A 12,535-nucleotide genomic window follows, 5' to 3' on the forward strand; every position below is an offset into this window, starting at 1 on the left:
TGAATGTTGTAAAGTTTTTCTTTATCTTCATCTTTTTAAAAAATAATGTTAGTGTTTTGGTCTAGGGTAATGTGCAGCTGTCTCCAAAACAACATAGCCAAGGTGGGTGTGTAACTGGAGGGGAAAGGATGGCACACTTGGCTAAAACCAGTGTGCCATCCCCTTTGTATTTGGTCTAAGATGTATGGATAAGAGAATCTTCAAAATGGCCCAGCTACATTAGTCTCTTCTTAGAAGAACTTACTGAGGAAATTACTCGGAGAGGAGGGGTCTAAGTAGGCAGGTATTCCAAAAGGGAAGCATGGCATGATTATCTCATTACATTACTTTAGACCTGATCCTTAACTTTAACTTTTCTGTTAGGAGCTTTGTAAATTCTCCAGCAATTACAAAATGGGAGGACACTGACTCCTGCTTGACTACTGTGTGTGTGGTAGGAGACAAAATCTGTAATTGGTTTCTCTTACAGGTAGTGCCAGTGAAGTACTCAAAGAATGGACAGTAACAGGCAAGAAAAAGGTAAAATGAATTACATTTAAAAGCATGATGATGTGTATATTATTTTTAAAAATTTAGGCTCTGCAAAAATATTTGAAAGAAAAGGTTCACATACATATCTTCTGTTTACCTGGTTAAAAAACATCTTTGGCCAGGTGCAGGGGCTCACACCTGTAATCCCAGCACTTTAGGAGGCCAAGGCAGGTGGATCACTTGAGGTCAGTGGTTCAAGACTAGCCCGGCCAACATGGTGAAGTCCCGTCTCTACTAAAAAATAGAAAAAATTAGCCAGGTGTGGTGGCACGTGCCTGTAATCCCAGTTACTCAGGAGGGTGAGGCAGGAGAATAACTTGAACCCAAGAGGCAGAGGTTGCAGTGAGCCGAGATTGGGCCACTGCATTCCAGCCTGGGTGACAGAGTGAGACTCCATCTCAAAAAAAAAAAAAAAATTCTTCGACCTTGAAACATAGCTGTGTCTCACAGAGTACCACACAGTCCTCTCCGTGTGATTTAAGGCAGGAAACAGAATGACTTTGCCATGGTGCAGTTATTAGACGGGTGAAAAAGACAGCAAATCAAGGAAAGCAAGAGAAAGCGATCTAATTGAGTGGTTTTCAACCATATTCATACCATAAATCAGTTAAAACAGTTCAGATTTTTGGTCGGGCAACTGGGTTGTAGTCCTGATATTAATGAGCTTTGACATAAAGCTGTTAGGTGCTGGCCAGGCACGGTGACTCATGCCTGTAATCCCAGCACTTTGGGAGGCTGAGGTGGGAGGATCACTTGCGCCCAGGAGTTCAAGTCTGGGCAACATGATGAAACCTGATCTCAAAAAAAAGGCTATTAGGTGCCTTGCAGAGGGGTCTGATGTTCCACTTTGAGAGGTAGAAAGCACTCAGGCTATGGGATCAGTCAGAACTGGATTCCTACCCTGTTCCACTATCTACTGGCATTGTGACTGATATTGCTTAACATTTGTGCCTTAGTTTGCTCATCTCTAAAATAGAAAAATAGTTCTAATAAATACAAATACATAATACAACGCCTAACATATTAGTTCTCGTTCCTTTCTCCTTATTTACTTAAAATCAGATGCTTTTCCCAAAGGATACCAGCTGGTCTCAAAATTCTTCCCACAGCTCTGCACTGTAAAGGTAACCCCTTTAGGAAATGCTTGAAGTATGGATTTTAATCAAGTATCTCTGTGAAATCTGTTTGGGGTGTTCTTTTCTTTATTAAGTCAGTGCTGGAGTTCTGAAATGCTTTCATCATGACTCTTACATCACTTTTTAGGAGTCCTGTCAGGTCTTGAACAAAAACCAGGCTTGGCCTCAGTGACGCTTGAGAATTTTTTCCAAGGGTTACCTAATACTACACAGATTCTTCTGAAGCTCTTCATACCTGTAGTTTTGAATATTTGTTTAACTTCTTCCTGCTGCTTTCAACCTGTTACATAGATAACTGTGAGTGTCCTGGAAAACACCAGTTTCTTTTTTTTCTTTTTTCTTTTTTTTTTTTCTTTTTGAGATGGAGTTTTGCTCTGTCGCCCAGGCTGGAGTGCCGTGGCGCGATCTCGGCTCACTGCAGCCTCCGCCTCCTGGGTTCAAGTAATTCTCATGCCTCAGCCTCCTACGTAGGGCGGGACTACAGGTGCGTGCCACTGCGCCTGGCTAATATTTGTATTTTTTAGTAGAGACAGGGTTTCACCATGTTGGCTAGGCTGGTGTCGAACGCCTGACCCCAAGTGATCTGCGCACCTTGGCCTCCCAAAGTGCTGGAATTACAGGCATGAGCCACTGCACCCAGCTAACACCAGTTTCTTAATTTATTAGCCCAGGATTATAAGTTACTAGTGATATAAGATGTGCATGGACCTGGAAGAGGATGTGTGTTAGAGACACAGACATTCCTTAAAATTTGGAGAAAGAAATATGACTTCAGTTTAGCAGTCCCAAATGCACAAATCCAGTCCAGTCCACTTAACTGTTGGGATTAGTCCAATAGGATGTGACTCTGAGTGGGATAGTTATGATATACATGACCCAATGATATGAAAACTTAGCCAGTTCACATGGGGGAAAGTAAGAAAAAGAAAGATGAGGCCGGGCACGGTGGTTCATGCCTGTAATTCCAGCATTTTGGGAGGTCGAGGCAGGTGGATCACTGGAGGTCAGGGGATTGAGACCAGCCTGGCCAACATGGTGAAACCCTATCTCTACTAAAAATACAAAAAAATTAGCTGGGTGTGGTGGCACATGCCTGTAATCCCAGCTACTCGGGAGGCCAAGTCAGGAGAATTGCTTGAACCTGGGAGGTGGAGGTTGCAGTGAGCCGAGATTGCACCATTGCACTCCAGCCTGGGCAACAAGAGCGAAACTCCGTCTTTAAAAAAAAAAAAAAAAAAGAAAGAAAGAAAGATGAGAGCTGTTAAGGCAAAAAGTTTATCTAGAGTTCAATCATGTTTCTGCTGGAGAGGGTCACAGAAAGGACTTGGGGAAAAATTGATTCAGTTATTATCAGCCTAGCCTTAGGAATAGAATTAGGTGTTGCCAGTGGAGCTACGAGTTTGACAAAACAAAAGGTAAAGGACTTTTGTTTGTTTATTTTAACTTTACTATTTGCCTATGCAATATACTCACATGGCTCAAAATTCAAAAGTACAAGAGTTAATACACTGAAACATCTTTTTTTTTTTTTTTTTAATTTGAGATGGAGTGTCACTCTGTTGCCCAGGCTGGAGTGCAGTGGTGCAAGCTCAGCTCACTGCACCCTCCACCTCCCAGGTTTAAGTGATTCTCCTGCCTCAGCCTCCCGAGTAGGTGGGATTACAGGCATGTGCCATCACATCTGGCTGATTTTTGTATTTTTTATTAGAGATGGGGTTTCGTCGTATTGGCCAGGTTGGTCTCAAACTCCTGACCTCAGGTGATCCACCTACCTTGGCCTCCCAAAGTGTTGGGATTACAGGCATGAGCCACTGCACCCACCCAATACACTGAAACATCTTTATCCCATCCCTGTTCCCCAGCCATTTGGTTCTCCACCCCCAAGGCAAACAGTATTTTCAATTTCTTATATATCTTTCAAGATATTTTATGCATATATAAGTAAATAAGACCATTCTCCTCTTTGCCTGCTTCCTTTTTTCATGTAATATATCTTGGAGCTTATTCCATGTCTCAATATATAAAGAGCTTTCTTGTTTTTATGGATACATAGTCATCCTGCTGTTTAGACGTGCCACAATTTATTTAAGCAGTCGCCTATTGATCAACATTTGGGTTGTTTCTAATCCTGTGCTGTTAATAGTGATACTGCAATGAATAACCTTGTGTATATATAGAAATCACTTTGCATATGTGTTATTCTCATCTTGAATAAATTCCTAGAAGTAGGATTGCTAGTCAAAGAGTATGTGCATTTGTAATTTTGATAAGCATTACTAGATTGTCATGGAGAGTACCACTTTGAACTCCCAGAAGTAATACATGAAAATGGCTGTTTCTCTATACCCTCAACCTTTATCAATTCTACAGTGTTAACATACTTTTTGACCTTTGCTAATCTAATAAATGAAAAATGATAATTGCAGTGCAGTTTTAATTTATATATCTCTTATTAGACTGAGGTTGCATATCATTCTATATGCTTATAGCTTATACTATTTTTTTCTATGGGATTATTTTGCTTTTTCTGAGAACTCTGTATATATTTAGCTCTTTGACTATAAGCTGCACATATTTTTTTCACATTTTGTAATTTATCTTTTGATTTTGTTGAAGGTGGGTTTTGTCATGAAGAAATGTTTTATATTTATGTGTTTGAGTTTATCTAAAGTATAGGATTTCACATAGTAAAATTTTATTTTAGGCAATAGTTCAGCATATGTGAAAATATTAAATTTCTGAAAGAACATACAAGAAATTGGTAACATTGGTTACCTTTGGGTAGCTAGAGTTACCTCTCTAGGTTGTGGGGGAATCTTTTCTTTCTTTTCTTTTCTTTTTCAAATTTTTAATAACTTTAGAACAAAAAGAAGAAAAACAAACCGAAACCTGCCGCAGAACCAAGTAACGGCATCCCAGATTCCAGTAAATCAGTTTCCATTCAAGAGGAACAGTCTGCGCCTTCCTCAGAGAAAGGTGGTATGAATGGCTACCATGTCAATGGTGCCATCAATGACACTGAGTCTGTGGACTCACTCAGTGAAGGTTTGGAGACACTTTCAATAGATGCCAGAGAATTGGAGGATCCCGAGTCTGCCATGCTAGATACGCTGGATAGAACAGGTGAGTTTATTAACAGATTTTGAAAAAGTTGCATTCAGTTGAAAAACAGGGTTCTCCTCGTTGAGAAAGTGATCAATTAAATCTAGTTAGTCTTTTTTTATCCAGTGCTTGCTGATTAGTCTTTTTACTTTTTAGTTTTTGTTACTTTTTGTCTGAGTCACATTTTATAATTATCAAAGGCCTAGAAAAAAATACAATTCTTTTTTTTTGAGATGGAATCTCGCTGTGTCGCCCAGGCTGAAGTGCAGTGGCGTGATTTCAGCTCACTGCAAGCTCCACCTCCTGGGTTCACGCCATTCTCATGCCTCAGCCTCCTGAGTAGCTGGTACTACAGGCACCCGCCACCACGCCTGGCTAATCTTTTGTATTTTTTTTTAGTAGAGATGGGGTTTCACCGTGTTAGCCAGGATAGTCTTGATCTCCTGACCTCATGATCCACCCGCCTCAGCCACCCAAAGTGCTGGGATTACAGGCGTTGCCCACCGCGCCTGGCTGAAAAAATACAATTCTTGTTCCATTATATTTTAACTCTTGTCTAAATCAGTTTTGTGGAAATCATCTAACTTGAACCCTAGTGTTCCATTATTGGAACGCTGAGCATGTGGGAGTTATTCATATCCTACTGCTCAAGGTCATCGCCAAGATCTAATTTTTCCACTCATGCAAAAATTAAAAAAATTGCAGCCTCCGGCATAAATGGGTTAATAGCAGAGAAATACCTCAGTATTTAGAGACTACAGAAGGTGACTTTAAGTTGTTTTTTAAAAATTGTGGAGTTATTCAGGAAGATGATGATGTTGATATTATTATTTTAAGACCCAACATAGTGAGAAATATAATAATGATAATTTCAGCTTTTGTGAGAACTAGGCTGTTGGTTTTTATAGTCTCACATTTGTTTTCTAGTGAAGAATTAAGATTAGTGTTAGTTGTAAATTCACATATCTTGTACCTTTCTTTGTTAACCATTTTTTTGAGGGTAAGATACTGGAAATTTCTCTTTTAAAACATTACTTGTTAATCCAGTTCCCCTGCCCTGCTGCTCCTGGCTTTAGAAGTGTAATGCCAATATAAGATTTATGCTGTGCTGTTTAGGTGTTCTTTTATTGATTAGTATACACACATACACAAAAAAAGACTTAGAGAAAAACATTGCACTGACTCAAACCAACAATAGCCAGTGGTTTCCATTTTTTTCTGAACTAGCTTTCCTCTCATTTCCTAACTCTTCCTAACTTATTACACTTCTATCCCCTAGAGCGTTGTTGTTTGTTTGTTTGTTTGTTTGTTTTGAGAGACCTGGTCTCTCTCTGTTGCCCAAGCTGGTCTTAAACTCCTGTGCTCAAGTGATCCTTCTGCCTCAGCTTCCTGAATACCTGGGATTACTGGCGTGAGCCACTATGCCTGGCCCCTAAAGCTTTTTAAATTCTTCTTTCCTCGAGAGAGTTTAAAACTCTTTTTTTCTTAACATGGAGGCTTGCAGAAGTTGGTGATACTGACTTTCTTTGATTCCTTGTGCCAGACTTACATAGAAACTACCAAGCTACAAAGAAGCCACAGAGCCACAGGGATTGAGCTCCCTATCTAAAGATGTGTTGCCACAGACTCTTCTCTTCATTCCGGACGCCACTTAAGACTAAGCCCGAAGCTGCCGATAGCCATACCCAGCTGATTCTGATCTTTGTTCTATTGTTTCAGTTGATTTTGTTTACAGTCTTTTAAGAGGCATGGTTTTGCCTCAAACATTTTTACCTGTTTTCTTTGTGTACTTAAGAATGACTGGTTTACTCCTAAATTGTGCTCTAAAGTACAGTCCTCTTTCTTGGACAGGATCCATGCTGCAGAATGGTGTCTCTGATTTTGAGACCAAGTCTTTGACTATGCACTCTATTCACAATTCTCAACAACCCAGGAATGCTGCCAAATCTCTCTCAAGACCTACCACAGAAACTCAGTTTTCAAATATGGGGATGGAAGATGTTCCCCTCGCCACCAGTAAAAAGCTAAGTAAGTCAGAGGCCCACCTGTGAGAGAAAATGAAAAATCTGTGTTTTTGGCTAAAGAGGGCAAATTATCTCTGTTGCCATAAATAAGGTTTCAGAAGGGCATCAGTTAATATTTTTCCATTTTCCAGACAGTGACTGACTACTCAGCCCTTCCCCTAACCTTTGTGTACACAGTTGGAGTCTGAAAGTAGTTTAAATGCTGTACAATCTACTTACGACGGCACGTTTTGTGAATTAAAGTCAAACTCTACTGCCAGAATGATTTACCTGCTAACATTAACCTGTTTCTTTATTTGCTTTATTGCAACGTTTTGGTGCTATTTCTTTCATTTTTATCTTCTGGTTGACCCAACAAGTAAAAGCTCTACCTTCTCTGACATTGACTTTTTTTTTTTTTTTCCCCCGAGACTGAGTCTCACTTTGTCCCCCAGGCTGGAGTGCAGTGGCGCAGTCTTGGCTCACTGCAAGCTCCGCCTCCCGGGTTCATGCCATTCTCCTGCCTCAGCCTACCAAGTAGCTGGGACTACAGGCGAGTGCCACCATGCCCGGCTATTTTTTTGTATTTTTAGTAGAGATGGGGTTTCGCCGTGTTAGCCAGGATGGTCTCGATCTCCTGACCTCGTGATCCGCCTGTCTCGGCCTCCCAAAGTGCTGGAATTACAGGCGTGAGCCACTGCGCCCAGCCAACATTGACATTTTAAAGAAATATTTTCACTCCTCTTCATAACTTCATGCTCTTACTGAGCTAGAGTCCTCTGACAGACTCTAGCTTAGAAAAAGTAAGGTCATTTTCTCTTAAGTATGTGGCGTTGACTGGTGATAGCTCTTTGCTTAAAAAAAAAAGAAAACTACAATAATCATTTAAACAAACAGCCAGTAATTCAGCAGACAGAGATAATACCCTGTGTTTCCTATATCTGAGTTTCATACATCTAAGCATGGTGGTCCACTCCACTAAACAAATGAAACATAGAAATATAAAGGACACTTGTAATCAGTAGCTCTTTATGGAATTATTTATTACACATGAGCCAAATTTTAATTAGGTAAGCTCCCCTTTTTCATTGTTCTGGTAGCCCTCAGCCTGTTGCAGATCAGCAGGTTTGAGACTATCCAATCAAGCCAAAAAAAAAAAAAATATATATATATATATATATATATGCGCACAAGGCTTGAAAGCTTTTAGGTGGATTCTAAAAAATAAAATCAAGTTGAGATGAGGAAGAATTTAAATAAAAAAATTGGAAATGCATATCTTGGCATAGTTACAAACTTTTTAGATCCATGTTTCCAGCAATCAATTATATATGTAATTTGGGGATTGGTGAATATAGAAAGGTAAATAGAACTCTTGGAAATTGGTTAAAATGTGTTGAGTAGGTAAATGCAGTCCATCCTTTTCTACAAAGCTGGCTTCCTCATATATACAGTGCTTTGAAGTGTACTATACAGACAGAACATTTTAATTTTGTAATGTCCACATGGTGAATTATATTCTATTAAATCCTGTAACTTAAGGAATTTTGAAAATTTGGTACCTTTTTTAAAGTCTTTTTTCTCTGTGTGTTTCATTTCATTTTGGATAGTTTGTAAAACTGCTGTCTTCAACTGTATTCATCTTTTGTTAACAGTTTCTATTCTGCTGTTAATTCTATGCAGTATATGTCTCTGGCATTGTTTTATTTGTCTCTAGAAGTTCAACTGGGGTCTTTTAAGATATCTTCCATATCTCTTCTTACCACGCTTATGCTTTCCTCTACCTTCTTGAACATATGGTATCTATTTTTTTTTTTTTTTTTTTTGAGATGGAGTTTCACTCTTGTCACCCAGGCTGGAGTGCAATGGTGTGATTTCAGCTCACTGAAACCTCCGCCTCCCAGTGATTCTCCTGCCTCAGCCTCCCGAGTAGCTGGGATTACAGGTGCGTGCCACCACACCCAGCTAATTTTGTATTTTTAGTAGAGACAGGGTTTCACCATGCTGGCCAGGCTGGTCTTGAACTCCTGGCCTCAGGTGATCCACCCATCTTGGCCTCCCAAAGTGCTGGGATTACAGGCGTGAGCCACCACACCTGGCCCTATAGTATCTAATTATAATAGCTGTTTGATGTCCTTTTCTACTCAATTCTATCATCTGTGTCATTTCCGCATCTGCCTCTGTGATTGATTTTTTCTCTTACTTATAGGTCATATTTTTCTGTTTCTTTTAAGCTTTTTTAGGTGGGACTAGAGCAGCCTTTAGTCTAGAAATAATTTTGCCCTGTTGCTGAGGCAGTATCCTTCCAACTACTCTGCCTGCCATATATTGTGAGGTTTTTCCACTCTGGCTGGTGTGAGCACAAACTGTCCCTGGCCTGGTGAGCTCTGGGGATTGTTCTGCCTGGTTGTTTTGTTTTGTTTTGTTTTGTTTTGTTTTGTTTTGTTTTGTTTTGTTTTTTGGTGGTTCTTTGGTTTTGTTTTGTTTTTTTTTTGCCTGTTGTCTTTCCAGTCTTGGGTAGTTTCTTTATACTCATGCACTGGTCCACACTCAGAATCCTCTGTGGATCTCCGTGCAGCTCTCTCATGTGTGTAGCTCTTTCCTCACCAATACTCTGCCCCAGAATTTCAGCCATCTTGGCCTTTCCAAATTCCCAACTTTGTCCCTTCAATTCAGGGGGTCCACCAGGCTGTTGAGGATTTCTCCTCCCTGCATTGTAGCCTAGAAACTATTGAGGCAGCAAGTTGGGGCAATCATAGGCCTCACTTCATTTGTTTCTGTTGTCTCGGGAAAAGTACTACCTGTTACACATTGTCTGAAAACCATTGTTTCATATATTTTGTCTTTGTATGTTTTTAGTTGTTTAAGATAGAAGAATAAATCCAATTATTATTATTCCATCTTGACCAGGATCCTTTTTTTTCCAAAAATCTATAAAAACATGTTTTTCTCATTGGGGAAGGTGGTTATTTAGGAAAGATTCTTAGTCTACATGACATTTGGCTTTGGTGTTCAGATCCGACTTTCAAGTTACCTATATAATTATTCTTTTTTTTTTTTTAATATTTCGGTTTTTTTCCCCAAGGTTCCAATATTGAAAAATCTGTAAAAGACCTCCAGCGCTGCACAGTGTCTCTTGCACGGTATCGAGTTGTAGTTAAAGAAGAGATGGATGCCTCCATTAAGAAAATGAAACAAGCCTTTGCTGAATTGGAGAGCTGGTAATTTAAGCTGCATTTGATATCAGTAGCATAAAAATGATCATATATAAATATAAAGATGGTCAGCCATTCCCCAAGTTCATTCATTCATGACTAACTACATAGTAGGAGAGACTTATAAATCCTATGGTATATTTAGCTTTCTGCTTTGTTCTATTTCTCTTGGTCACAGTGTGAGAATGGTACAGATAACTCACAATGCTCTAGAAATGAGCTGGAGTTTAATATTGTTTGGAAAGGGACACATAATTATAGAGTAGATCATATACTTTAAAGTCTCCTTTTAGGCCGGTGCGGTGGCTCAAGCCTGTAATCCCAGTACTTTGGGAGGCCGAGGTGGGCGGATCTTGAGGTCAGGAGATCAAGACCATCCTGGCTAACACGGTGAAAACCCGTCTCTACTAAAAATACAAAAAATTAGCTGGGTGTGGTGGCGCGCGCCTGTAGTCCTAGCTACTCGGGAGGCTGAGGCAGGAGAATGGCGTGAACCCGGGAGGCGGAGCTTGCAGTGAGCCAAGATCTCGCCACTGCACTCCAGGCTGGGCGACAGAGCGAAACTCTGTCTCAAAAAAAGAAAAGAAAAAAAAAAGTCTCCTTTTAAACTAAGATCCTATAACAAATGACATGATGTATGTTTTTGAACAAAATTATAAAGTAGAAAAAATCTGTCTTTGCTTTCCTACCTTCTTCCATCCTTTTTAATTTATGCCACTCCAATAAAGTGCCCTTTTATTAATTATTATTATTATTGTTGTTTTTTGAGACAGGGTCTTACTCTGTCTGTCACCCAGGCTGGAATGCTATGGCACGATCACATCTCACTGTAGCCTCAGCCTCCTGGGCTCCAGCAATCCTCCCACCTCAGCCTCCCAAGTAGCTGGTACTACAGGCATGTACCACCACACCTGGCTCATTTTTTAATTTTTAAATATTTTGTAGAAATGTGGTCTCACTATGTTGCCCAGGCCAGTCTTGAACTACTGGGCTCAAGTGATCTGCCTGAAGCTGGGTAATTTATAGTGAATAGAGATTTATTTTTTACAGTTTTGGAGTCTGAGAAGTTTAAGGTCAAGGGGCCCACATCTTGGCAAGGACCTTGCTGTGTCATTCCATGGCAGATGGCAGAAGGGCAAGGGAGCATGCATGGGAGAGCCAGAGAGGGCCAAACTCAATTTTCTAATGAACCCACTCTCTCAATAACAAAATTAATTCATTTGTGGGACTCTCCCCTCATGACCTAATCATCTCTTAAAGGTCCCACCTCTCACCACTGTAGCACTGAGGATTAAGTTTCCAACACACGAGCTTTGGGGATCACATTCAAACCATAGCAATATTCTAATGTTTCCTGGAACACTGAAGCTGTTTTAACTGTTAGATATTAAGGTGTTAACGGATATTTGTTTTTTTGTTTTGTTTTGTTTGTTTTTTGAGACGGAGTCTCTGTCGCCTAGGCTGGAGTGGAGTGGCCCAATCTTGGCTCACTGCAACCTCCGCCTCCCAGGTTGCAGCCATTCTCCTGCCTCAGCCTCCCGGAGTAGCTGGGACTACAGACATGTGCCACCATGCCTGGCTAATTTTTTGTGTGTTTTTAGTAGAGATGGGGTTTCACCATGTTGGCCAGGCCGGTCTCGAACTCCTGACCTCAGGTGATCTGCCCATCTCTGCCTCCCAAAGTGCTGGGATTACAGGAGTGAGCCACCGTGCCCAGCTGGTGTTAACAGATGTTTAAATTCTAGCTCCTTTGTGGGAGGTATTTTATAAGGGATTTTTTGAAACTAGAAAAGACTTAAGGACCATATTAAAATGACAGGAAGACAAGCAGCTAGGGTGATGTTTTGAGACTTAGAACTTGTTCATTATACTTATTTTTAGTAACTGTCTAGATCTGAAATATGACAGGAAGTGTTCATGAAAAGAACAAACCATACATGCTTTCTTGCTGCCTGTAGACTGTTCCCTCAGGTTATACCTAACTGTGTCTCTGTTCACAAATTTAGTCTAGTCACTTTTGCCACAACATATAAGAGATAGAGGAGAGTGTAGGTCCCCTCAGTCCTCCTGGTCTCTGGAATTGCAGAGGAGTAGTTAATCAAAATGAAATAATGCCTCCAAAAAGTTAAATCATCAGAACCAAAACTTACTTTGGGGCTAGATAATTCATCTTAGTCTACCCATGCCTTGTCCTGAACTCTAAGTTTTACTTTTCAGGTTTTATGGCTAGGAATTTAATGTCATGTCTTCTGTTTTTCTTTGTTTGTTTGAGACAGGGTCTGGCTCTGTCACCCAGGCTGGAGTGCGGTGGCACGGTCATGGCTCACTGCAACCTCCACCTCCTGGGCTCAAGCCATCCTCCCACCCTCAGCCTCCCTAGTCCCCTAGCTGGGACTACAAGCATGTGCCACCACACCTGGCTAATTTTTTAATTTTTTGTAGAGATGAGGTTTCACCATATTGCCCAGGCTGGTCTCCAATTCCTGGGCCCAAGCAATCCTCTCATCTAGGCCTCCCAAAGTGCTGGGATTACAGCCATAAGCCACTG

At 40.6% G+C, this 12,535-nt stretch overlaps 1 protein-coding gene across 19 annotated transcripts in view; it reads left to right on the top strand.

Annotated features, from left to right (window-relative positions):
• Nucleotides 1–12,535, top strand: part of SPATS2 (spermatogenesis associated serine rich 2) — a 160,574-nt gene that overhangs the window by 123,361 nt on the left and 24,678 nt on the right. For all 19 annotated transcript variants that reach the window (NR_120663.2, XM_047429409.1, XM_047429412.1 and 16 more), the window contains 4 exons: nt 470–519; nt 4,529–4,790; nt 6,621–6,797; nt 9,858–9,993. Coding sequence is in view for 18 of the 19 variants with exons in the window: in XM_047429409.1 (XP_047285365.1) it covers nt 470–519; nt 4,529–4,790; nt 6,621–6,797; nt 9,858–9,993 (625 nt within the window). In the remaining variant the exon portion in view is untranslated. The remainder of the gene's footprint in view (nt 1–469; nt 520–4,528; nt 4,791–6,620; nt 6,798–9,857; nt 9,994–12,535) is intronic.

The sequence above is a fragment of the Homo sapiens genome, chromosome 12 (genome assembly GCF_000001405.40).
Source record: "Homo sapiens chromosome 12, GRCh38.p14 Primary Assembly".
In the NCBI taxonomy this organism is placed as follows: Eukaryota; Metazoa; Chordata; class Mammalia; order Primates; family Hominidae; genus Homo; species Homo sapiens.